Consider the following 27,417-nt stretch of genomic DNA (forward strand, 5'->3'; position numbering starts at 1 on the left):
ACATCTCCCGTCACTCAGGGCCCGAAGGGGCGGGGCCTTAAACGTTATCCAATCAGGAACGCTGGGCTGGGAACCATCCAATCAGGCACGCAACTGGAGCGGACAGCACAGCTTCCGGGATTTGGCGGGGCCTTTGTCTCTCGCTGCAGCCGGCGCTCCACGTCTAGTCTTCACTGCTCTGCGTCCTGTGCTGATAAAGGCTCGCCGCTGTGACCCTGTTACCTGCAAGAACTTGGAGGTTCACAGCTAAGACGCCAGGACCCCCTGGAAGCCTAGAAATGGTGAGCCTGCTGGGTCCCACATCCCGAGAGAGGGGGAGGGTCTGGCTGGAACCGATTGGAAGTGGCTGTGGCGGGCCTCGGGCCTTCCCGCAGTCGGCTCCGAGATCCGCGGCCCGAGTTCTCCTTGGCGCAGCTCGGCCCTCAGTCTCCTTCAGCCATAAGATGGCGGCTGGGCTGACAGCCGGGACCCCGGGCGTCCTGTCTCCTCCCTGCGCAGTGACTGTGCTTTGGCCTGGAGCCCTCCCTGGGCAGCTCTGCACCCGCAGCGTCGCATCTCTCGCCGAGTGTGCAGGGACGACGGGAGAATAGTAAAGAGAAGAATCCTGACTCGGGGTGCGGGGTTTATGAATGGGAAGAGCTTTGGTCCGTGTGGTTCTCAGGTCCTCTTTTTTCCTATTAAAAATTTATGGGAGTCAAGGTAAAAATATTGAAGAATTTAATCAAAGAGCGATTCAGGAATTTTAGAGCACCCAGCTATGATTTGTAGTTTGTGGTCCGTGGGAGGGGCTTGAAGGAAACACTTTTATAAGATGCATAATGAAAAAAAACAAGTTTAATAATTGGTTAGGTACAGTTACGTCGTTTTTTAATTTGTATGATTAAGGTAGAAATTTCCTGGTCATGTAATCAGAGATTGTCAGTTTATAGTTGGTTAAGCCTGAATTTTGTTCCCTCGGTGTTATTTACCCTCCCCTCCCCCCGCCAAAAATGCATTTGAATTATATTTTTTTTAAAGTAGGAACCCAGGGACTAGAGCCACCTCAATCTAATTGCCTGCCACTTAATTATTTTCACATCCACAGGGGACTGATTTTCCCCTGCAGTTTTCACATGTGTCCCAAGCAGGGTCTCAAGTCTACCCCCCATCCCTCATTCCTCCAGCTTAATTCTGGCTTGCAGTAAAATACTAAATTTCCAGTTCCTTCTGACATTCCCAAATGCCAACTTACCCTCCCTAATTCGCATTAGCAAGTGTGTTTCCTTTAGTGTACATTTTCGATGGCATATTTTAATTAATCATTTTTGGCAAAGCATTGGATGGCACGTTTTAAAAGATTTGTTTCCTGTTTGTAAATATTTCCTATGAGAAGAAAGCAAAGAATAATCCCCTAACATTGTATTGTAAATCTCTGTGCCTCTTTTCTTTTTATCTTCCTTAGGCACAGAGATCTTATCAGAATGTTTTTGGGTCATGGTTGCTTTCCCTTTGGAAACTTTATGGGGTGATGTGTTCTCAGCCACCCTTCAGTTCTTTTTCTGGTCCTGGGTTTTAGTACTGTCTGGGGCAAGATACCTACCATGGCAATGTCGCTAGAGTGTCTAGTAAATATCAGCTCCTGGGTCATTTTCTCTCGTAGAATAACCTGAAGTATGGAATGTAGCTTCTCAAGGGAGCAGGTGGATGCCCTGGGGCTGAGAAGCATCTCCTGGGCTACTCTTCCTTTGAAAAGCTTACCCCTTGAGATATTAAGATTGTCTTCACTCAACCCAGCTTTCATTTCTTGGAGAAACATTGCTGGTCAGCCAATCAGATGCTGGTACTGGGAGGAAAACACCAAAATTATTTCTGTCCCCAGGATTCTCTAAGATTTGTGGAAAAAAAAAAAGTATTCCAAAAGATACAACAAAACCTGACCTGGAGATCGAGACCATCCTGGCCAATATGGTGAAAGCCGGTTTCTACTAAAATACAAAAAATTAGCCAGGCATGGTGGTGCATGCCTGTAATCCCAGCTACTCGGGAGGCTGAGGCAGGGGAATCGCTTGAACCCGGGAGAGGGAGATTGCAGTGAGCCAAGATCATGCCACTGCACTCCAGCCTCGAGACTCCGTCTCAAACAAACAAACAAAAACAACCTGATCCCAGTGAGATGGTACAAGAACTTGCAAAGTAAAATACACCTGGGGTATAGTGTCTTCTGAGAGGGTGGTTATTGAGTCTCCCTCTATTGCCCAGGCTGGAGTGCAGTGGCGTGGTCTCGGCTCACTGCAACCTCTGCCTTCTGGGTTCAAGAGATTCTGCTGCCTCAGCCTCCCGAGTAGCTGGAATTACAGGCACGCACAACCACACCCGACTAGTGTTTTGTATTTTAGTAGAGACTGGGTTTCACTCTGTTGCCCAGGCTGGTCTCAAACTCCTGAGCTCAGGCAGTCCACCTGCCTTGGCCTCCCAAAGTGCTAGGATTACAGGCGTGAGGCACCACGCCTGCTGACAAATCTGTTTTCTGATCAGCACTGCTACTTCCTGGGTTTGTCACCTTGAAAATATTTTTTTTTACTTATTTTGACTTTCATTTTATTAGGGCTTGAAAGGTAAGACATATTTACAAAGGGCATAAAAGAGGTGAGTTTCAGGAAAAAATTAATATCTAATCACATATTCCATTTGCTAAAAATTCTTTTACCTTTTTTGTTTTTCCCAGAATGAGTTTAGGAATTTTCTCACTTGTTTTTGTTGTTTCTTGAGACAGACTCTTGCTCTGTCACCCAGGCTGGAGTGCAGTGGTGTGATCTCAGCTCACTGTGACCTCTGCCTCCCAGGTTCAAGCGATTCTGCTGCCTTAGCCTCCTGAGTAGCTGACATTACAGGTGCGTGCCACCATGCCTGGGTAATTTTTGTATTTTTGGTAGAGACAAGATTTCACCATGTTGGTCAGGCTGGTCTTGAACTCCTGACCTCGTGATCTGCCCACCTTGGCTTCCCAAAATGCTGGGATTACAGGCGTGAGCCACCGCGCCTAGCCCACTTGTGTTTTTTATGGCTGGGTAATTACAAACATAATTCTAAGGCTTAGCTTTTAGAATGCTACCAAGGAAAAGAATAGAGATAATCTCTCTTCCATTTTGGCTGTAGAAAATGAATACATTTCCACAAGAAAATATGGTAGATAATTGGTGAGTTACATAGATTCACTTTGCAGAGTAAATTTGTTACAGCGAATATGTCTGTTCTATACCATGTTATCTTGATGTCTGAGTTTCACGCTAAATTTTACGAGATTAAACTTGGTACCTACTAAAAGTGTTCCCATATGACTACGTGATTTTTAATGGAAATAATAAAATAATAAATCTGTTGTCTGAAGGTAATAGATACTTTTGCTTTTCTTATTGAGGTGTGAAATGTAAGCACCTTAAAATTTCCTTCCCTCGTATTTATACTGTGTTTGAGTAATTTTGCTGGATTTTTCAAACACTTAGTTTCAAAAACCAAGAGAATGACTCTAACATGGAAATTAAAGCTTCAGCCCAATGACTCCAAGCTATGGCTATTATTGAGCCTGCAAAAGGAGGTTATTAAAGGCCCAGTTAGGTTCTTTTTGGGGAGCCTCCCCTGAAGATGTCCCAGCCTGCTCACCCCAGCCATAGAAGAAGTCTTTATACTGAGAGAAGCTACAGAGCCCTGGAAAGCTGGGGACCCACAGGCAGATGGAGTTAACATTAAGATGGAAGGGGATTGGGAGGGTCTTACTGAAGATAAAGCTGTCATTGTTTTGAGGCAGTTTCTAGAGGCAGTTTGTTTTGAGGCAGTTACTTTTTATTTGTTTATTTATTTTTTTTGAGATGGAGTCTTGCTTTGTCGCCAGGCTGGAGTGCACTGGCGCGATCTAGACTCACTGCAACGGCGCGATCTAGACTCACTGCAACCTCCGCCTCCCGGGTTCAAGTGATTCTCCTGCCTCAGCCTCCTGAGTAGCTGGGACTACAGGCTCGTGCCACCACACCCAGCTAATTTTTGTATTTTTAGTAGAGACGGGGTTTCACCATGTTGGTCAGGATGGTGTCCATCTCTTGACCTCATGATCCACCCACCTCGGCCTCCCAAAGTGTTGGGATTACAGGCGTGAGCCACTGCGCCCAGCCTGGCAGTTACTTTCTAAAATAAAACAAAGTTAGAATTATGTAAAAACATTTGAATTCCAAAGGAGTATTGCAACAGGAGGAAGTACCAACTACAAGATCTTTAAGGATTGCAAAGTTTAGGCAGACAAGGGCTTTCTTTCATAGGAGCAAACAAGATTAGAAAGAAGGTAGGCGGGGAACTGCAAATGGAGGGAATCAAACTTTAGGCCTGGCATGGTGGCTCATGCCTGTAATTCCAGCACTTTGGGAGACTGAGGTGGGCGGATCTACTAAAAGTACAAAAATCAGCTGGGTGTGGTGGCGGGCGACTGTAATCCCAGTTACTCAGGAGGCTGAGGCAGGAGAATCCCTTGAACCTGGGAGATGGAGGTTGCAGTGAACTGAGCGTTACTGCACTCCAGCCTGGGCAACAGAGCCAGACTCTGTCTCAAAAAAAAAAAAATCAGATTTTAGATGAGAGAATGTTTTACCTTGAAGTCAGTATATTCTTAGAAGGGACATAAAGTGAGGTTGTATGTTGGCTCAGACTGAAGGTAGCTCAAAGCGCAGGAGTTGGTGGGAAGGAGATAAGTAAAGTCTGATTAAGAAGTATTTTTGGCCGGGCGTGGTGGCTCACACCTGTAATCCCAGCACTTTGGGAGGCCGAGGTGGGCGGATCACGAGGTCAGAAGACCGAGACCATCCTGGCTAACATGGTGATACTCCATCTCTACTAAAAATACAAAAAAGTAGCTGGGCGTGGTGGCGGGCGCCTGTAGTCCCAGCTATTCGGGAGGCTGAGGCAGGAGAATGGTGTGAACCCGGGAGGCAGAGCTTGCGGTGAGCCGAGATCGTGCCACTGCACTCCAGCCTGGGCGACAGAGCAAGACTCCGTCTCAAAAAAAAAAAAAAGTATTTTTCTTTTGACCACTGAAGCCAAATTCAGCTGATTTTTTAAATGAGAAAAATAAAATGTGCAGTCTTTATCTGACTATGTGATAGGTAAGAAAAGAGAGCACCATCTAAGTCATAATGGTAAGAGTGGTTCTTTCCATAAACTGTTCCTGGAGAACAGAAAGGATGGAGAATTTTGTTAATCACAGCTATTTACCAGGATTATCTATGTGCTTCATTTTTCCCTGCTTCTTTTTTTTGTCCTATACATTTTTTCCATTTGACTTTTCCCGGGTTGTATCATTTATAATAAACTGGTCAACATAACTACAGTGTTTTGCTGAGTTCTGTGAGCAGCTCTATCAAATTATTGAACTGGAGGGAGGTTATGGGAGTCCCCAGTTTTTAAGCAGTAGCTAAGAAGAATAGATGGACCAATGAGGTTTTTGACTGACATCGGCAGTGAAGACAGTGTTGTGGGACTGAATCCTGAATCAGGGTCCGTGCAGACTCTGGATGGTGTCAGAATTCAAATGTTAGAAAATGAATTGGTGTTGGAGAATTGCTTGGTGTTCACCAATCTACAGATCTGGGGACAGAAGAAAGATATCACGGAGGCCTGGCCTGGAATGGAACTCTGGGTGTCTGGGAATGGGAGACTCTGCTCTCCTGTACACAGGCTGTCACACTGCCCGTTGTCCTAGGATTCCAGGTCTCCTGCCATGGTGAGAGAGGACTGAAAACTTAGAGGAAAGAAGCTCTGATAACAGACATCCTTTCCCCACAGCTGCCACCACATGATTCCCACCCACTTACAAACATACTCACTAGACATTGATGTGCACACACTCCTCCCAGGACTAGGCACCACCCTCAGGAATTTCACCGCAGCATTTTTGAACCTGTTTCTTGCTCACAAAATTGTCTACAAGTCTCCTGGCATATCCCCACCTCCACACTGAATCTACAGCATCAGCCTGCTTTCTCCACCAACCTAGGGTTCTGCACCACCTGTTCATAATCTCATCTGCCTGCATGGACACAAATAAATGAGAGGACAGCCCCACGCCACTATCTGTAGCACAAACCAGTCTTTCCATCTACAGTGCACTCTCCCCCACCCATGGATCTTTTCTGTTTTGTTTTTGGTTCGGGAGTACACATGCAGGATTGTTCTATAGGTAAAATTGTGTTGTGGGTGTTTGGTGTAGACTATTTTGTCTCTGAGGTACTAAGCATAGAACCAAATGGGTATTTTTTTCCTGATCCTCTTTGTCCTGCCACCCTCTACCCTCAACTAGGCCTCAGTGTCTGTTTTTCCTCTTATTGTCTCCATGTGTTGTTGTTATTTAGCTCTTATAAATGATAGCATGCATTTGGTTTTCTGTTTCTGCATTAGTTTTCTAAGGATAATGGTCTCCAGCTCCATCCATGTTGCTGCAAAGAAAATGATCTTGTTCTTGTTTTATGGCCACACAATATTCCACTATTTTTATGTACCATATTTTGTTTTTATTAAATCTTTATTTTATTTATTTCTGAAGACAGGGTCTCACTCTGTCGCCCAGGCTGGAGTGCAGTGGTGTGATCTTGGCTCACTGCAGCCTCAATCTCAATCTCCTGGGCTCAAGCAATCCTCCTACCTAAGCCCCCCAAGTAGCTGGGACTACAGCGTGCACGACCACGCCTGGCTAATTTTTCTTTTTGTATTTTTTGTACAGACAGAGTTTTGCCATGTTTCCCAGGCTGGTCGCCAACTCCTGAGCTCACGCAATCCACCTGCCTCACCCTGCCAAAGTGCTGGGATTACAGGCGTGAACCACTATGCTCAACCACAATGTATTTTCTTTATCTAGCCTACCATTGAGGGTATTTAGGTTAATTCCATGTCTTTGGTACTGTCACTAGTGCTGCAATGAAGATGCATGTGCATGGGTCTTTATGATAGAATAATTTGTATTCTTTGGGTATATACCTAATTAGGAGGTGGGTCAAATGGTAATTCTGTTTTTAGTTTTGTGAGGAATTGTCACACTGCTTTTCACAATGGTTGAACTAATTTACACTCCCACCAGCAGAGTATAAGCATTCTCTTTACCCTGCAACTTTGCCAGCACATCTATTATTTTTTTGACTTTTTTGGTAATTGCCATTCTTACTGGTGTGAGATGGTATCTCATTGTGGTGTTTTTTTTGTTTGTTTGTTTGCATCTCTCTAATGATTAGTGATGAGCACTTTTTTAATATGCTTGTTAGCCACATGTATGCTTTCTCTTTTTTTTCTTTTCTTTTTGGAGATGGAGTCTCGCTCTGTTATCCAGGCTGGAGTGCAGTGGCACGATCTCGGCTCACTGCAACCTCCATCTCCTGGGTTCAAGCAATTCTCCCTCAGCCTCCCAAGTAGCTGGGATTACAGGCACGCCCCACCATGCCTGACTAATTTTTGTATTTTTTTTAGTAGAGACGGGGGTTTCACCATATTGGCCAGGCTGGTCTCGAACTCTTGACCTTGTGATCCACCCACCTTGGCCTCCCAGAGTGCTAGGATTACAGGTGTGAGGCACCACACCCACCTGCTTTCTCTTGAAAAGCGTGTGTTTATGTCCTTTGCCTACTTTTTAATAAGGTTTTTTTTTTCTTGTAAACTTGCTTAAGTTCCTTATGGATTCTGGATATTAGACCTTTGTCAGAAGCATAGTTTGCAAATATTTTTCTTTATTCTCTAGGTTGTCTGTTTACTCTGTTGATAGTTTCTTGTGGGTTTTGTTTTTGTTTTCTGTGAAGATGCTCTTTAGTTTAATTTGGTCCCATTTATCGATTTTTGCTTTTGTGGCGATTGCTTTTGGTATCTTCATCATAATATCGTTGGCAGTTTCTATGTCTGGAATTGTATTTCCTAGGTTATCTTCCAGGGCATTTTATAATTTTAAGTTTTACATTTAAGTCCTTAATTTATCTTGTGTTTATTTTTGGATATAGTGTAAGCAGGGAGTCCAGTTTTAATCTTTTACATAGTGCTAGCTATTTATTACAACACCATTTATTAAACAGGGAATCTCTCCTACATTTCTCTTGTCAGCTTTGTCAAAAATACGATGATTGTAGGTGTGCCACATTATTTCTGGGCTCTCTATTCTGTTGCATTGGTCTCTGAGCCTGTTTTTGTACTGGTATCATGTTGCTGTGGTAGTGCTCAGAGTAGAGAGCTATTGCTTTAAAATGCAAATAGCCAAAAAGAGAGCACTATATTCAACCATTTCTATAGGAGAGTGAGAGCCTACCTTCAGCAGGCACCTGGCTTCAAATTGCAAAACTACCTCCTGTCACGAAGATGTGAAAAGTTTATTTTGTCATTGAATATAGCCAATTAGCTTACACGGATGGCCTCCCCAGTTGCCAGGTGAATTTAGGATGAACTATGTATAACATGGTACTGTAAATTCTTCTACTTATGGACTAATTATTGTGACCGTCTTTCTGTCTTTGCAGTCTCTTAAGCAGATTGTGATGCGTGTCACATTCTGGTGTAATTGTGTAATAAAACAGTTTTCTTTCTGTTTTATCATTGTGGAGTTACTCTGGGGCTGGAGAAAACTTTCCTTTTAATTATATTTTCCAAACACTGTTTAAACTTACCACACATGATATAAACATATAAGGTGCCAACCAAGCTTTAATCTAGATGGGCCTTTTTGTCTCAGGCTTCCAGTCAACTCATGATTGTGCTGCAAAATGCATGCTGTCCCCTGAATATGCAGGCAGAATCGTGCCTCTGCCTATTTGGTATCTAGTCCTGTATAATCACATCTAGAGAGGCTAGACCAAATTTCTAAATACTTCACAGAACAGCAATTAACCATTTTACCTCTTTCAATGACTCTTGTATCTTTAGACCTGAAACTGATTCAGAGACTGTGGGGCCCGTTAGAGTAACATGCATGCATTGAGTAGACATGTAGGCATGAGAATCTCCACTTTCCCCTTCCTTCTCTTTTTAAAATGCCCACAAATGTGCAGGTAACACTTACTGCTATTCTACCCATCCAGGACCTAAACTAGCGGCTCCACATTCTGAATCTGGGTCTTGCAGTAAACCTTTTATCTGAGAAATGCAAATCCTTTTAGTTATAAGGCTCAAAGAGACATTAAAACGAGACCACAATTGTGTCTTTCTCTCTCCTTTGAGCTATGTATTTATCTCTTGAAACTGCTTGCTATTGCCACGAGTAGCTATAAATTAAACTAATAATGCTACGCTGAACACTATAACCCACACCCTATACAGCTTAGAAATGTATGTCAATCAGTAATCAAGGTTGTTTTTAGTAAATAAGTAAGATTTCCTGACAATTTTGTATCAGCCCACTCTCTATCTCTTTTTGCCTTTAAAAATCCACTTGTAACTGCTGCTAGATTCCAGGCAACTTGAATCTTTGCTCCCAGTTTACAATCTTCAAGCTTGGCCCAAGTGAACTGTCTACTTACATTTGTGGTTCCTCAGCTTTTTCCTATGAAGGAGGAAATTAAGGACATATTATTTAGAATGTGCCAGAGCAGCCTTTATGAGGGGATCTCTCCTTTGGTTGTACTTTTGCTGTAACACCCAAGAATGCAGAGCCAGGTTGACCCCATCTAGAATCTTCACATGTCTGGCCTGGGATTTGCAAGACAGGAGCAGACTTTGGATTGAAAATGTACAGAAAACCAAGAGGAGGCATTCTCTGCATTGTGAGATGTCAACATAGACATCTTAAAGCTACCTCCTTTGAGAGTGTGGCTATTTGAGCTTTTCAGATCTTGTTCAGTGACCTGTTACTGTTACGTGAGAGGTGCCAGGTATAAATAGAATCTGATGGCAGAATCTGTAAATGTAAACAAAGCATCTTAGGAGTGAGAGATCAAGGCCACAAAGTATCCAGAGCCATGACTACAACTATACCTACCTGTAAAAAATGTGATACTGGAGTAGAGTATTCTTGTCCTTTCTCTTACCCAAAGACTACCTGATCAGGACAGGTAATCCAGGTTCTGGAGCTCCACCAGGGCAGTTCTGTTTTCTATTTAGAATCAGCCTAAGTCTCTACTGCCTGGCTTACTACTGGGCCATCAGCCCAGGATCACTGAGAACCCTCTCACAATCACCTAGGCATCTTTGAAACATTTGAGGATGTCCAGAGTAAAACTGTGTTAGGCTGACAAGAGTGGTTCATTCTGCTTTTGTCTCAGTGTAAGAGAAATGAGTCACGCCAAAAAATGGGGGCTTCATTTGGGCCGCTTCTTTATATTGTTGTGACTTCTGAGGTCATCATTTGAATGGATGTTTATGGACAGAAGAGTTGTTATTATTATTTCTGTTTCTTTTACCTTGTTAAGAATACATATTTATCTTCTAATACAATTATGCTAGAAAGCCCTAAGAGATTTGTTTAAATTGCTTATTAGTATATGTTATAAAATTGACAGGGCAGTGGCTAAAAAAGATTAAAATTACACAAACTGTGGGATTTAAGTTTCTCTTAGGTAAGCTTAGGAAAAACAGAACGGAAATACCCCAGTGGCATAGAGAGCAGAATTCTACATAGTGTCCTCTCCCTGCCCCATTTCTGTTCAGATTCACCCTTTTTGGAGGCCTTATTGAAGTCTGGCTTCACCTTGGAGTCTAGCCTTACAGAACTGATTGAAAGAGAAGTGTTTTGGGTGATGAATTCGGCTGCCTTTCTAGAGCTGTTGCTCAGGATTTCTTGAAATCTAAAAGCAGATAAATGGGAAAAATAAAATAATATTTTAGGGCCTTAATTTCTTAATTTTGTATTAAAATCAGTGCATGCAGAAACATGCCATTTAGCAACTTATTCCTTATTCTATTCCTGAAGACCCAGTAGTTGCTCCACAAGCCACAAACAAGTAAATATAAACACAATAAAAATTCCTCCAAACTACGTTAAACTCTTTTCTTTATTCCTCTCATCTGTCTATATGTAGCTTTTATTCTGTACATTTTTCACAAAAAAAATGACAAATATAAATGCTGGGCCCTTTTTCTAAATTCTGGCAATTATTAAACAAAACCAACTCCCAGGGTGTTACGAGGATTAAATCACGTAATGTTTTATTCCTAGCAGTACTCTGTAACATACTCTTGAGGACATAGTACCTGTTTAATAAACATTGCATTAGTGCATGTGTAAATGTTGTTTTCCAAATGCAGACTTATTTGGACATTGCTGGCCTCTGTTTCCTCTGTAAACTTTAAAGAGCCAACAAAGAATATACTTTAGGATGAAGATTGGTTGTCTTTATTTGTACCAGAAGTATTTGTATTTTGACAAGAGTGCTGAGTGTAAGGGATTCTGTGATGTGCCTGCTTTGTCTAACTAGTGCTAATAATGAGCGCAGGGGGAGCAACATCAGCATCTATAGAGGACTTGTTTAAAATACCCTTTCATGGACCATTTTCAAACCTGCAGAATCACATTACATAGAGTGGGGCCAAAATCACCAAGTGATTTATAAGCTTATCAGTGCTTGAGAGATAATAATTAGCTAAGCGTTTATCAGCCCAGGCTTCTGATTAAGATTACATAGCCAGTTTGCAGAAATCTCTATTTGTGCCCTCCCCACAGGTTCTGTTCTATTGTTCTGGAAACATCCATATTGCTTTAAGGGCCTCATGTGACTCTAAGGTGAGGCCAGAATCAAGTATGAGGGATTCAAGATACATTCGTGAGTGTTAAGTTCTATCTTCGCACTAAAGGGTGGTCACAAGGCCTGTTTTCTTTGGGTTTGGTAGGGACAGGGCAGAGTGCCCCATATTTCCATTACTTTAGCAAAAATTGTTGGTGTCTGTGGTAGCAGAGGGCATCTGAGGACGGGAAAGGAGATATCATTATCTCCATAGAGCAGCTTATTTTTCCTGAATCTCTTCTGTTATAGAGGACAGAAATGGGTGGACTTTTTCTGCAGGTCTTGGACCTTCTGCCTGTGGGTGTGGTGGTAGCAGGTAAACAGGTGGTGCCGACACCTTTAAAGCCATATTCTTAAGATTCAGGTGTAATTTCTCCAGAGAATCATCTGAGAAAGAATCCCAGAGCAGGAAGAGAAAGAGGAAAAAATGGCTATTTTTCCGCTAAAAGTGTCTCAGATCAAGAGCTGTGTCCACTGTGCCTCCTGGAATGCCATGTGTTTAGTACTTATAAACCTTCTCTACTTGTGCTTTTCCTCCCTAATGAGTTTGTTTTAACTACTGTAAAAAATTTTCATTATAGTCAAGTATCTGAAAAATTTTTATTTATTTATTTTTGAGAAGGAATCTCACTCTGTCACCCAGGCTGGAGTGCAGCGGCATGATCTTGGCTCACTGCAACCTCTGCCTCCCGGGTTCAAGCAATTCTCCTGCCTCAGCCTCCTAACTAGCTGGGATTACAGGCGCGTGCCACCATGCCCGGCTAATTTTTGTATTTTTGGTAGAGACGGGGTTTCACCGTGTTGACCAGGCTGGTCTCGAACTCCTGACCTTGTGATCTGCCTGTCTTGGCCTCCCAAAAGTGCTGGGATTACAGGCATGAGCCACCGCACCCAGGCAAATATTTCTTCCTATATACTGGAGCCTTCTCTACATCATGGCTTCTTATATGCCATGTAGAATTCTCACCATGAATTTATGATCTTAAAAATGTTCCCTTTGTGACTATTGAATATGGGAGGATGAATATACTCAAGATTCCTATTGGGGAAAAGCTGGGGTCCTTAGTCAAGGAGAACATGTAATATTGAGGTTTCATCTGTCTTCTCCATTAGCTCTATGCAGAACAGGATTAAGAAAATGCTTTTTGAAACAGGATGGCATTTACTACCCAGAAAGTTCTGAAGAAAATTATTAGGAGATATATGTTGTCTAGGGTGCTAAAGAAAGACTATTTAAAATTACTATTAAAAATTGCAGAACATGGGAGATATCTGTATCTCAAACTTTGCATAAAATGGATGTTTCTTTATGGTTAAATTCAGGCTATAATTTACTTTTTGGGGAAGTAATATCCCAGCAGTGATGCTGTGTCCTTCTGTTCATCAGCACATTATAAAAATTTGTCCTAGTTCAGTTGATATTAATGATTCACTTGGTTAAAGAGCTCTCTGACAGATTTTTTCACTATAGAGTTAGTAATTTTTCTCTCGATTATTAAGTATCTGTTTTCTTTCTTCTTTTTTTTTTTTTTTTTGAGACGGAGTTTCACTCTCGTTCCCCAGGCTAGAGTGCAATGGCGCAATCTCGGCTCACTGCAACCTCCGCCTCCTGGGTTCAAGCAATTCTCCTGCCTCAGCCTCCTGAGTAGCTGGGATTACAGGCACGCGCCACCATGCCCGGCTAATTTTTTGTATTTTTAGTAGAAATGGGGTTTCACCATGTTAGCCAGGCTGGTCTCTGAACTCCTGACCTCAGGTGATCCGCCCACCGCAGCCTCCCAAACTGCTGGGATTATAGGTATAAGCCACTGGGCCCAGCCAGTTATTAAGTATCTTTATGCAGCTGATGTGCATAAACCATTACAGTTAATCTGGCAGCTGCCCTTCTTTATTAGGTTTTCTTTGCATATATCTGTCTTTGGAAAATGAAGGCTCTCGTCTTTGTTTATGGGTCAGAAAAACTGGGAAAACCCACACTCCTCCCCCTTACTGGATGCTTGACAAAATAATCTTCTTGGGCAAAAATCATTGGCATTATTGGTGATCTTCTTAGAAATTAAGAAACTCAGACTTTATTCCAGATGTTCTGAAAAAATATATGCATAACAAGATCTTCAGTTTATCATACACATTAAAATTTGAGAGGTCACTTCTAACTCCATGTCTTTTCCATCTGAAACATATACACTCAGAAATGTACGTTTGTGTTCATGCCCTTAATTTTATACTTTATCATCCAGAAAAGTATCATGTATACACTGGTGTTATGGATCTTATGTCATTCTCTTTTCTCAGAGTTAGAGAATACATTAGAAAATATTTCTGTATTGAAAATTATTTTATTGGATCATTTCAGTCACTCCTGTAAGTCAGAACTTGTTCTCTTTACTCTTTCATTTCACCTTAAGTCAAATAAAAAATTCTGCCCATGGCCACTTAGTAAACATATGTGTGTTTGTGTGTGTGTGTGTGTTTTTCAGGGACCACTGACATTTAGGGATGTGAAAATAGAATTCTCTCTAGAGGAATGGCAATGCCTGGACACTGCGCAGCGGAATTTATATAGAGATGTGATGTTAGAGAACTACAGAAACCTGGTCTTCCTTGGTGAGGATAACTTCAATACACAATACACAATGCTCTAAAAGTTTCATTTCTCCTCTTTGTAAAATGTTTTTTGGTAATTTATGCTTTGCATAAATGAGTTTCAGATCCCAGTTTTCAAGAAAACAGAGATTTGTCAGTATAGAAAAGAACTTCTTCAAGATGTTTCATTTTGACCTGAACTCTCCACATTCCTGAGCTGATCTATATCCTTCACTCTAAATTAGTGGTAATTCCAGAAATTTATTGGCATAAAATATTGTTGCTACCACCAATTTTTCATTTAGTAGTACTGGGCAGTATTAAATAAAATTAAAGATCTACAAATGTAGGCTGGGCGTGGTGGCTCATGCCTGTAATCCCAGCACTTTGGGAGGCTGAGGTGGGTGGATTACCTGAGGTCAGGAGTTCGAGAGCAGCCTGGCCAACATGGTGAAACCCTGTCTCTACTAAAAATAAAAAAATTAGCCAGGCGTGTTGGTGGGCGCCTGTAATCCAACTACTCAGGAGGCTGAGGCAGGAGAATCGCTTGAACCCGGGAGGCAGAGATTGCAGTGAGCTGAGATCGTGCCATTGCACTCCAGCCTGGGTGACAGAGTGAGGCTCTGTCTTTAAAAAAAAAAATCTACAAATTTAAAATATTTAGATATTTGTCATAAATTAGTATTTGGGGATTAATTTACTAGATTAATCTATTGCATCCTCTTTACTGAGCATATTACTATGTTGGTAATTGGAGAATATGAGCAAGATTTATGTTATTTATTTTTAATAAAACAGGTATTGCTGTCTCTAAGCCAGACCTGATCACCTGGCTGGAGCAAGGAAAAGAGCCCTGGAATCTGAAGAGACATGAGATGGTAGACAAAACCCCAGGTAGGTGACAGTTAATACAACAGACAACACAAATGAGAGGTCCAAAAGTCAAGGAGAAGGCCAGTCATTTTTTCTTAGTCGGAGTTTTGACCTTGTTGTCCAGGCTGGAGTGCAAGGGTGTGATCTTGGCTTACTGCAACCTCTGCCTCCCAGGTTCAAGCGATTCTCCTGCTTCAGCCTCCCGAGTAGCTGGGATTACAGGCACCCACCACCATGCCTGGCTAATTTTGTATTTTTAGTAGAGACGGGGTGTCTCCATGTTGGTCAGGCTAGTCTCGAACTCTCGACTTCAGGTGATCCGCCCGCCTCAGCCTTCCAAAAGTGCTGGGATTACAGGCGTGAGCCACTGCGCCTGGCCTCAGTCTTTAAAATGTAATTTGGGAAGCTGTTTCCAAAAAAAATAGTTTCTGGGAAGCCTGAAACTTTTATTTTGCTCTCACATAGGGGCATCTTCTGTCTAATGCTTTTAAATTTTCTAAGGTGATCTTCTTCAAGTTTACAGTGAGAGCCAAAGTCCTTTTCATGGGAGGAAGAGACTGCACAATCTGACTACTTTTCCATTGCTTTTGAGGACACACAAATAGCTGCATAATTTTGAGAAACTCTGTTAAACTACTTTTCTTTTTGTTTTTTTGAGACAGAGTCTCGCTCTGTCGCCAGGCTGGAGTGCAGTGGCGCGAGCTTGGCTCACAGCAACCTCTGCCTCCTGGGTTCGAGCAATTCTCCTGCCTCAGCCTCCCGAGTAGCTGGGACTATAGGCATGCACCACCACGTCCAGCTAATTTTTGTATTTTTAGTAGAGATGGGGTTTCTCCACGTTGGCCAGGATGGTCTTGATCTCTTGACCTTGTGATCCGCCCGCCTCGGCCTCCCAAAGTGCTGGGATTACAGGTGTGAGCTACTGTGCCTAGCCCAGAAATTTATTATTAATATTACTATTATTTTTCTGAGACGGAGTCTTACTCTGCTGCCCAGGCTGGAGATCAGTGGTGCAATCTCGGCTCACTGCAAGCTCCGCCTCCCGAGTTCACACCATTCTCCTGCCTCAGCCTGCCAAGTAGCTGGGACTACAGGTGCGAACCACCATCCCTGGCTAATTTTTTGTATTTTTAGTAGAGATGGGGTTTCACCATGTTAGCCAGGATGGAGAAATGTATTATTTTAATGGTATTACAAATAAGATTGTTTTTTTCCTCTTTTATATCATGTAGCTTATTTTAAGTGTATGGAACCATAACTTGTATGTTAATTTCATATTGTGCTGATTTATTATTAGTTTAGACATGTTTAAATGTTTATGATTTTCTCTATATAAGATTATGTGATCTACAAACAGCAACTTTTTACCTATCTGTCTTCAATGTCAATGGCTTTTTAAATTTTTTAAATTCTTTTGCCACATAATTCCAGTGCTATGTTAAAATGGAAGCATTGACATTGGCACAATATAGTTTTGCATTGGTGTCTGTAAATTTGAAGGAGCAAACAGCTCTTCAGGTTTTTATAAACTGGTTTTAGAAGGTAAAGATCTTTTGTTGGGTTCCCACGGTGATGGGATGCCCTCTGGGTTTGTAGTGGAGAGGGGTGTAGCTTGGTCACAAGGCTGCTGGGTCTACACTAGGGTCCACCTTTACTGGCTTATTACAAGGGGCTTGGGTATTTGTAATTTCCATTTTATTTTTAGACAGACTGAATATCCTCCAGGACTTTGCTCTGTCGGGCAGACACTAGGGCAGGTTTCTGTAGTCGGGTCTGCATATAATGGACCTTGTATCAGGATGTGGATGAGTGTGGCTTTCACTGAGTACCAGAGAGGATTTCCCCAGGCCACTGTGTAGGTTTCTGTGTAGATATAACTGGCCATAAACTGTGGCTCAGAGAGTTGGAACTGAGTCATTAAACTGCTTCAGAGACCACAGTAAAGGCCAAGGTCTGCAAGCCGGCCTGCCTGCATGGCTATAAATGGTTGTCTTCCTCCAGGCCGCTGGAAGGGCAGGACCTTTTCCAGACTGTGGCTGGGAGAAGTTTGGGATGGTTGCAGAGTAAGTTCAGAATTCTCAGTGGGACCAAGTTTGGTGGGCCATTTTCTGGTCTGTAGCCAAGAACAGGAGTCCTTTAGTTTGCCGCCTGAATGAGGGCCTGCCTTCTAAAAACAACACTCCTCAATCTTGGGTTTAGCATTTCACAACTCCCTCCCTGGATCTCAAAGCTCTCTTAAAGGCGCTTATTTTTGAGATGGGGTCTTGCTTCATAACCCATTCTGGTCTTGAAATCCTGGCCTGAAGCAATCTCCAACCTCAATGTATGATAAAGCTTTCATTACAGGTGTGAGCCATGATGCCTGGCTCTCTCAAAAGGCCTTTTTATGAGGGATGGCTGACAAATTTTCTTGCTGTTGGAGGATAACAAAATAAGGCAACTTTTATTGTCCTATCTTCCTGATGTCACTCTTCCTATACATTTTTACTTTCTATTTTCTATTTCAAATTTGTCTGTAACTTTAGAATCAGACCTTTGGGACAATATGCTAGAATTTACATGTTATGCCTGAAGTAAATTAGATAATTTACTCCATAATTACTAAAATAGTTACTTATAAATTTAAGTTTGCGGCAGGCAAAAAGGAATAGTATTTTCACCCACTTTTTAGCCTATATCTAAGTAATAACATAATGTATCCCCCAAATATTTGTTTTATCTATCAGAGGCACTAACCATATTCAGCAAAATAAAAATTTTTTCTTTATTTGGCAACGTAAGGCTATTCTTTGCTTCTATAGTTGGATTGCAGCAGTTTCATCTAGTGTAAGAATAGCATATATTTAAAACATAAAAATTATCTCAATTTTTAAAAATGCTTACTTATTAAGTTTTTTATTAGAATCTTCTATGTATGGTTATACTGCATTTTCTCTGAAATTTTACTGCCATACAGTGCATGCCAGTGATTCAAATACTTGCCTTCCATGAGTACACAGTTACACTCAAATATTGCAGTTATCTAGACAAATTCTTTTTAATGGTACATCAATATTGCAAACCAGGTTTTATGAGTAAACATTTCTTTTAATGTTTTACAGTTCCATATTAGTGTTTTTTGTTTAGTGTAGGTTTCTTATCAGTTTTTGTTTCTTGTTTTTACGGTTTTAGCAATTTGCACTTCTGTTTGTACACTTTAAGTGAATGTTGGGTTTAACTGGGAAATAAGTCAGCCATATGTCCATCATAGTCTGATTATATATGTGTGTGTTTTTATCTATTAATATGACTTTAATTTTGGTTATGGCATATCTTGTGTATATTCTTTCTTAGCTGATTTTCAATGGTTGTTTTGTCTAAGTGAGTAGTCATGGAAATAGTCTTTCTACCATGTGTTTAATGATAAATATTGTATAATTTCCTTTGGGTAAGAGAAACATTTTTGTAATTTGAAGGTAATTTTTGGAAATATTTGTAATTCTATTTTTTTTTTTTTTAGTTTTTCTTTTAAAAAATAATTGTTGTAAAAACACATAACCTAAAATTTACCATCTTAAATCTATTTAAGTTTACATTTCATTGCCAGGCATGGTGGTGGCTCACATCTGTAATCCTCAGATTTTGGGAGGCCAAGACAGGAGCATCACTTGAGCCCACATTTTTTTTTTTTTTTGAGATGGAGTTTTGCTTTTGTTGCCCAGGCTGGAGTACAATGGTGTCATCTCAGCTCACCGTAACCTCCGCCTCCTGAGTTCAAGTGATTCTCCTGCCTCAGCCTCCTGAGTAGATGGGATTACAGGCATGTGCTACCATGCCTGGCTAATTTTGTATTTTTAGTAGAGACAGGGTTTCTCCATGTTGGTCAGGCTGTTCTCCACCTCCCGACCTCAGGTGATCCACCCACCTCAGCCTCCCAAAAGTGCTGGGATTACAGGAGTGAGCCACCGTGCCCGGCCAGAGCCCAAATGTTTGAGGCCAGCTTGGACAGCATGTGGAGACCCTCTCTCTACAACTTTTCAAAAAAATAGCCTGACATGGTGGTTGTCACCTGTGGTCCCAGCTACTTGGGAGATTGAGGGGAGAGGATTACTTAAGCCTGGAAGTTTGAGGCTGCAGTGAGCCTTAATTGTGCCACTGCACTGCAGCTTGGGTGACAAGTGGGACCCTGTCTCCAAAAAGCTGTACATTTCAGGCATGTTGACTATATTCACATCATTATGCAAAAGACTTCTTGAAATTTTACATCTTGTAAAACTAAAACTCAGTACCCGTTAAGCAATAACTGCCCATTTTACCTTCTCTCCAGCCCTTGACAAACACCCTTCCACTTACTATTTTTATGAGTGTGACTGTTTAAGATATCTCATATAAGTGGGATCACACAGTATCCATCATTTTGTTACTGGCTTATGTCAGGTGACAAAATATTCTCAAAGTTTATCTTAAAATGTGACAATTTTCTTTTTTAAGGCTGAAAAATATTCCACTGTATTTGTATGTTATATTTTTTGATGTGTTTATAAATCAAGAAGACAGTTGGGTTGCTTCAGCCTTTTGGCTTTTGTGAATACTGGTACAATAAACATAGATGTTCAAATATATTTTTAAGATCCTATGTTGCATAGTTTGGATATAGATTCATAAATGGGATACAGTAATAACAATTCCATCTTTAATTATTTGAGAAACATGTATATAATATTTTAAAATAATGGCTACATCCTTGTTTTTCACCAAAAAATAACATGGGTTTTATTTTCATTGCATCAACAGATTTGGTGCCTTTTAAAAAATGTATAGTGGCTATTCTAACTGGTATGAGGTGATTTTGTTTTTCATTGTGCTTTTTATGCATTTCTCTATAAGTTAGTAATTTTGTCTGTCCTTTCAAATGCTTTTTCCCATGTATATATATCTCTTGATAAAGATTCAATTATTTAAAATTCAATATTATTGAACTTTATATGATACTTTATATGATAAACTTTATATGATAAAGTTCAATTATTTCTTCATTTCTGTTCTTCATATCTTCATTTCTCATCAAGTTATTCAACTTTATTGTTCAGTTTGAAGAGTTGTTTATATATTCTGAATATTAGCTCCTATCACATGTGATTTGCAAACATTTTCACTTATTTCCTAGGGGACGTTGTCACTCTCTTGAATGTTTTCTTTGATGTGTAAAAATTTTGAAGTATAGCGTAATTCAGTTTTTCTGTTCTTTTCTTTGTTGCTCATGCATTAATATCATAAGTGGTGCCAAGACCAATGTAATGTCTTTCCTCTATATTGTTCCTAAGAGATTTGTTAGTTTTTTTTATGTCTAAGTATTTTATTTAAAATATTTTTTGTATATGGTTCAAGGAAAGGATCAAACTTTATAAGTGTTAATGTCCAGTTTCACCATTATTTTTTGAAGAGACTATCTTTCCTCTATTGTGTGCTCATGGCAACTTTGGAAGATCATTTGATCATATATAGAAGGGTTCATTTCTAGGCTCTCTATTCTGTTCTTTCATCTCTTTATCTGTCTTTGTGTCAGTACCACATTGTTTTTGTTATTGTAGATTTTAATATGTTGTGAAATCAGGAAGTATAATGGCTGTTTGTTCTTTTTCATGGGTGTTTGGATAGTTATAGATTTTAATCAAATTTTAAAAATTTAGACAATATTTCTGTTAAAAACTGTGCTATAGTATTTTTATAGAGATTATGTTGAATTTCTTTACCACTGTAGGTTGTATTGACATCTTAACAAAATGAAGTTTTTTTGTTTGTTTTTTGAGACGTTGTTTCGCTCTTGTTGCCCAGGCCAGAATGCAATGGCTGGTGCGATCTGGGCTCACTGCAACCTCTGCCTCCCAGGTTCAAGCGATTCTCGTGCCTCAGCCTCCCAATTACAGGTGCCTGACTCCACGCCCAGCTAATTTTTTTGTATTTTTAGTAGAGACGGGGTTTCACCATGTTGGCCAGACTGGTCTCAAACTCCTGACCTCAGGTGATCCACCCGCCTTGGCCTCCCAAAATGCTGGGATTGCAGGCATGAGCCACTGTGCCTGGCCCAAAATGAAGTTTTTTGACCCTTGAGCAAAAATATGTTGAAGAATGTGTTTTATTTTCACATTTCTTTTAATTCCTAGTTTCTTTCAGTTTTGGTCAGAAAACATACCATTTATTATTTTGGTCTTAAGTTTATTTATTGTTGTTTCTGAGACAGGCTGGAGTGCAGTGGCATAATTTTGTCTCACTGCAGCCTCAGTCTCCTGTGCTCAAGTGATCCTTTTCCTCAGCCTCCTGAACAGCTGGGACTACAGACATGCACTACCATGCCTGGCTAATATTTTGATCATTTGTAGGGACAGATTCTCACTGTGTTGCCCAGGCTGGCCTCAAACTTCTGGCTTTAAGTCATCCTCCCACCTTGAAATCCCAGAGTGTTGGGTTATAGGCATGAGCCCCTGCACCCAGCTGGTATTCTTATATTAATAAGACTTGGTATGTGTCCTAACAGAATACACCAGCTGCAAATAAGAATATTGTGTATTCCCTTGCTTTTGACTAGAAAGTTTTGTACATGTCTGTTAAGCCTAGTTGGTCTATGATATTGTTTGGATGTTCATGTTCTTCAAACCTCATGCTGCGATGTAATCCTCAATGTTTGATGTGGGACCTGGAGGAAGGTGCTTGGGTCATGGGGGCAAATTCCTTATGAATGGCTTGGCACTATCCTCTTGGTAATCAAAAAGTTTACACTCCATCAATTCAAGTGAGAGCTAGTTTATTAAAAGAGTAGACAGTTATGGTAGTTATAGATTCCTGGTAAATTGACCCGTTTTACAATTATATAATATCAGTCTTTATCTCATGCTGGTACTTGACTTAAAGCATATATGTCTGATATAATTATGACTGCCTCACCCAATTGTGGTTGCAATTTGTATAGATATAGATCTTTTTCATTCTGTTACTTTCAGCCTATTTGACTTAGTGCCAAAATGGATCTCTTTTAGGCAGTATATTGTATGCTTTCTTATTTATTTATTTTTGAGATAGGGTCTCACTCTGTCAACCAGGCTGGTTTGCAGTGGTGTGATCATGGCAATGAGCTGCAGCCTCAACCTCCCAAACTCAGATGATCTTCTCATTTCAGCCTGTCAAGTAGCTGGTTACAGGCATGTGCCATCATACCCAGCTAGTTTTTTGTATTTTCTGTAAAGACGGTTTTGCCATGTTGCTGAGGCTGGTCTCAAACTCCTGCAGTCAAGTGATCAGCTCACCTTGACCTCCCAAAGTCCTGGGATTACATTTCTTTTTATTAACTAGTTTATATTTAAAATGATTTTTTAAAGAAATGATGTTACTATTACCAGTTTCATTGTTATTGTTTCTTGTGTTTTTTAGATATGTTTTTTCTCATTTCCTGTTTTACTCCTTGAATTTTTGTTTAATCTCATAGTGACCTGCTTTATTTTTTGTTTTGCATAGTTTCTATAAATATTATCTTTGTAATCATCTTGAAAAATGAAGATTATATAAAACATCTTAAAGTTAAAACATTTTCTAGTTTGTTACTAATACTACAAATTATATTGTGTTTCTATTAACAGATTTATTCAGATTTATATTTTGTTTCTCATATTCTATAGGAGAACTTTAAGGGTTTGATGCTCCATCATTATGATAGTAAAGAATTCTGTGTGTGTCTATATTTACATTTAATAGAGAGCTTTATATTTATATATGGTTTTATGATGCTGTGCAGCATTATTTTATTTTTCAACATAATGGAGTCATTTTAGCATTTCTCTTTTTGTATATGCAATGTCTCACTATGTTGCTCAGGCTGATCTTGAACTCCTGGTCTCAAGTGATTGATTGCCTTGGCCTCCTAAAGCTGTAGGATTACAGGCATGAGCCATGGTGCCTGCTCACCATGTAGCATTTCCTGTAGGACTGTGCAAGGGATAATAAACACCCTTACCTTTTATTTTGGAAAATCTATTTTTTTCTTGTTTTTAAAGTAAAACAATTTCTAACCAAGTTATTGGTTAGGAATATTTTTTCTCTTATTACGTCAAAATTTGAAAGTTCTCAGCCTTTTTTATCTTCAAGTATCCTCTGTACTACTTTTTTTTTTCTATATTCTTCTAAGATTTCTCCCATGAATATATTGATTTAATTGATGGTGGCCAGTAAGTTTTACCTTCTGTGTTATAATTTTGTTTTGGACTTTGACTACATCACACAGTTTCTTTATGGCCTGCAAAATTTTTGTTGACAGTTCACTGGTTATCTCGTAAGAGTATGCACATAAATGATGCATTACTTTTATCTTGCAGCTCCCAAGACTCTCTTCTTGTCTGTAACTTCTGAAATTGTGCTTATATATGTGTTTGTTATAAGTATCTTTTTGTGTATCCTAGTTTGTCTAGCTTCTTCATGTTTTATTTTTCAGTTTCTTTTTGTATTTTTTACCTCCACAATTTCTGAGGGGGTGTCGATATTTTGAATATTTTTGTTATCCTCATTTATCTGATTTTCAGAAATCGTCTGTGTTTCTGTTTCACTCATTGAATATTATTCAGTTTATTTTCAATTTCTTTATAACTTTATTTTTTATGGTTGCTTTCTAAAAATTTTATATTTTTTTGACAGGGCCATGTTGCCCTAATATTTTGTATACATTGTAATGTTTGATTGAGATTTGGACATTAAAAAAAAGCTGCCTATTACAATCTTTATTATGTAGCCTTGTCCTGGCATAGTCTTAAACCAATTGTCTTGGCTAGAGATTCCGGGAGTCTCTCAAACATGTTCTTAGGATGTGCCTTGTCTGAAATTTTGTGTTTACTTTTTAGTTAAAGGAGTTCATTTGTGTTTTTTGTTAAGTCGGTAATCAGTTGCTACACGTGTTCGCTGTCTGTGGTGCTGCTGCATTCTCTCTGCTGCTGTAATGTTTACCTTTGGTCTCAGCAGACAAACTGTCATTCCAAAGTATACCACCATTTCCTTCAGCACTTTATGGCATGGGAGACAGAAACCAGTGTCTTGAAAGGCCCCTAGAGGCCAAAAATAAAGATGTATGTGCCAGTATTTTTCTTGTCTTTTAAAAAGAAACCGGGAGTTGGCAATTTGTTGCTGAAGACACTAGGTTATTGAGGAGCAGGAAGAGCTGTGTTGGGTAAATGTAACACAGTTTTCTTTTCCTTCTATGTAGCTCTTTGCATTGTTCTCACCTGGGGCACTGTACACATTTAACTCATTTATAGCTTTTCCACAAATGTATTTTGGTCAGTATATTTTTGTTACATTTATATTTCTGTAAGGAATTAGGGCTTGCATTTTGCTATGCCATCTTGCTTATGTTGTAGTTTGTACAATTTTATAGGTTAAATTTGTAAAGTATATTCATCTGAGTCTAGTAAGTGAAGTAACTTGTTATTTTTATTTTTTTCAGTTATGTGTTCTCATTTTGCCCAAGATGTTTGGCCAGAGCACAGCATAAAAGATTCTTTCCAAAAAGTGATACTGAGAACATATGGAAAATATGGACATGAGAATTTACAGCTAAGAAAAGACCATAAAAGTGTGGATGCATGTAAGGTGTACAAAGGAGGTTATAATGGACTTAACCAGTGTTTGACAACTACTGACAGCAAGATATTTCAGTGTGATAAATATGTGAAAGTCTTTCATAAATTTCCAAATGTAAATAGAAATAAGATAAGACATACTGGAAAGAAACCTTTCAAATGTAAAAACCGTGGCAAATCATTTTGCATGCTTTCACAATTAACTCAACATAAGAAAATTCATACTAGAGAGTATTCTTACAAATGTGAAGAATGTGGTAAAGCCTTTAACTGGTCCTCAACCCTTACTAAACATAAGATAATTCATACTGGAGAAAAACCCTACAAATGTGAAGAATGTGGCAAAGCTTTTAACCGGTCCTCAAATCTTACTAAACATAAAATAATTCATACTGGAGAGAAACCCTACAAATGTGAAGAATGTGGCAAAGCTTTTAACCGGTCCTCAACCCTTACTAAACATAAAAGAATTCATACAGAAGAGAAACCCTACAAATGTGAAGAATGTGGCAAGGCCTTTAACCAGTTCTCGATTCTTAATAAACATAAGAGAATTCATATGGAAGATAAACCCTACAAATGTGAAGAATGTGGCAAAGCCTTTAGAGTATTCTCAATTCTTAAAAAACATAAGATAATCCATACTGGGGAAAAACCATACAAATGTGAAGAATGTGGCAAAGCCTTTAACCAGTTCTCAAACCTTACTAAACATAAGATAATTCATACTGGAGAGAAACCCTACAAATGTGATGAATGTGGCAAAGCCTTTAACCAGTCCTCAACCCTTACTAAACATAAAAGAATTCATACGGGAGAAAAACCCTACAAATGTGAAGAATGTGGCAAAGCTTTTAAACAGTCCTCAACCCTTACTGAACATAAGATAATTCATACTGGAGAGAAACCCTACAAATGTGAAAAATGTGGCAAGGCCTTTAGCTGGTCCTCAGCTTTTACTAAACATAAGAGAAATCATATGGAAGATAAACCCTACAAATGTGAAGAATGTGGCAAAGCCTTTAGTGTATTCTCAACCCTTACTAAACATAAAATAATTCATACTAGAGAAAAACCCTACAAATGTGAAGAATGTGGCAAAGCCTTTAACCAGTCCTCAATTTTTACTAAACATAAGATAATTCACACTGAAGGGAAATCCTACAAATGTGAAAAATGTGGCAATGCTTTTAACCAGTCCTCAAACCTTACTGCACGTAAGATAATTTATACTGGAGAGAAACCCTACAAATATGAAGAATGTGACAAAGCCTTTAACAAGTTCTCAACCCTTATTACACATCAGATAATTTATACTGGAGAGAAACCCTGCAAACATGAATGTGGCAGAGCCTTTAACAAATCCTCAAATTATACTAAAGAGAAACTACAAACCTGAAAGATGTGACAATGATTTTCACTACACCTCAAACTTTTCTAAACATAAACCATATTGGTGCCCTAGAAATGTGAGGAATATGACAAGGACTTTAAATGGTTGTCACGCTTGATTGTAGGTAAGATAATTTATATTGGAGAAAAATCCTCCAAGTATGAAGAATGTGGCAAACTTTTAACCAATCCTCACACCTTATTGCACAGGAAAGCATTTATACTTGAGAAAAATTGTATAAAGAATATGGAAAAGCCATTTATATCTGCTCACATGTAAAAACATCAGTTCATACTTAATAAAATGCAATTACCGTCAAATCTTTCAGAAAATATAAGCCTTTAATACGAGGAAGAGTATTCTTAAGATGAACATTACAAATAGAAAGAGGGTTGTAGTACCTTTAGTTTTATGATAGATCTTATTGTACACATTTTGTACCAGAGGAAAACCCTAAAGCATTAGTTGCTCAAACTTTGTTCGACATCAGGGAATTTGTATTGGAGAAAAACCCTGCAAATGTAATAAATATGGAAAAACATTTTTTCAAAAACTACAGCTTGGAAAACATCAGAGAGTTCATACTAAAATATATTTTTGCAGATGCAGTAAATATGAAAAATATTTAATCCCAAATTAAGTCTATGTAAATATCAGAATTCACAGTAGAAATCATAAGGCATAAGGCACTGATACTTCAGACATTACACTAAATTAGAGTGTTGAGTATAGGAGATCCAAAACTAAAATTGTTAGGTAAGTTATTTATATATAACTTTAAAAGAAGTAGAAGATTTTTTGGAGATTTATAATTACATTCAAAGTATACTTTTTTCTTGAAAAAAATTACAGATTTTTTGAAAAGCAATTGATGTAATTTAACTCTCAAATTCATGTTTTTCTTCATTCCTATTATATTCACATGTGAAAGCAAGTGATCTGTTGTTGCTGAATCAGAGATATGAGAGATTCTTTTTTATAGGTGGGCATTATTTATGCCCCTTTCTGTGGAAGAGTAAGAAAATTAAAATACAAGATGCATGAGGAAAATGTAGAGATGCTCTTTGTGATTAACTTAGAATATTAAGTGCTACTTGAGGTACATGTTCAGACTAACATTCTTTTGCAGTATAGTGAGAAAAAAACATTTTAAAATTAATTATCATTTTGTTGATTGTGCTTTTATGTAATAAAATGCAGTACTTTAAAACATTTAGATTGTGTGTGAACTTAATTTTGTAATTAAACATTTTTTTTAGCATGCTAA

General features: G+C 39.2%; 1 protein-coding gene across 5 annotated transcripts, besides 3 other annotated features; it reads left to right on the plus strand.

The window, feature by feature from the left end:
* Nucleotides 1-271: a silencer, noted in NCBI's record as "fragment chr7:64838633-64838903 (GRCh37/hg19 assembly coordinates)". NCBI's record gives its function as "represses an EF-1alpha promoter that drives an FKBP-Casp9 reporter gene in an ReSE screen in K562 erythroleukemia cells {active_cell/tissue: K562}" and the evidence as "EXISTENCE:reporter gene assay evidence [ECO:0000049][PMID:32094911]".
* Nucleotides 1-566: a biological region, named in NCBI's record as "ReSE screen-validated silencer GRCh37_chr7:64838633-64838903".
* ZNF92 (zinc finger protein 92) lies at nt 136-27,417 on the plus strand. 5 transcript variants are annotated; one of them, NM_001287533.2, is made up of 5 exons: nt 136-281; nt 14,183-14,309; nt 15,087-15,182; nt 16,134-16,255; nt 24,622-27,417. In NM_001287533.2, exon 5 carries the CDS (start codon nt 24,624-24,626, stop codon nt 26,154-26,156), a length of 1,533 nt encoding a protein of 510 aa, NP_001274462.1. In that variant the 5' UTR covers nt 136-281; nt 14,183-14,309; nt 15,087-15,182; nt 16,134-16,255; nt 24,622-24,623; the 3' UTR covers nt 26,157-27,417. The 5 variants fall into 5 exon arrangements, with proteins under 5 accessions (NP_001274462.1, NP_689839.1, NP_001274461.1 ...); NM_152626.4 differs by lacking the exon at nt 16,134-16,255; NM_001287532.2 differs by lacking the exons at nt 15,087-15,182; nt 16,134-16,255.
* Nucleotides 167-566: an enhancer, noted in NCBI's record as "active region_26071". NCBI's record gives its function as "activates an Ori minimal core promoter by ATAC-STARR-seq in GM12878 lymphoblastoid cells {active_cell/tissue: GM12878}" and the evidence as "EXISTENCE:reporter gene assay evidence [ECO:0000049][PMID:35858748]".

Source organism: Homo sapiens, chromosome 7 (assembly GCF_000001405.40).
Source record: "Homo sapiens chromosome 7, GRCh38.p14 Primary Assembly".
Classification (NCBI taxonomy): domain Eukaryota; kingdom Metazoa; phylum Chordata; class Mammalia; order Primates; family Hominidae; genus Homo; species Homo sapiens.

Bases quoted from the DNA above. Each gene is read 5' to 3' on its own strand.
- ZNF92 (NM_152626.4), top strand. The intron at 14,310-15,086 runs GTGAGGATAACT...TTAATAAAACAG, and splicing joins CAGAAACCTGGTCTTCCTTG to GTATTGCTGTCTCTAAGCCA. The intron at 15,183-24,621 runs GTAGGTGACAGT...TATTTTTTTCAG, and splicing joins GATGGTAGACAAAACCCCAG to TTATGTGTTCTCATTTTGCC.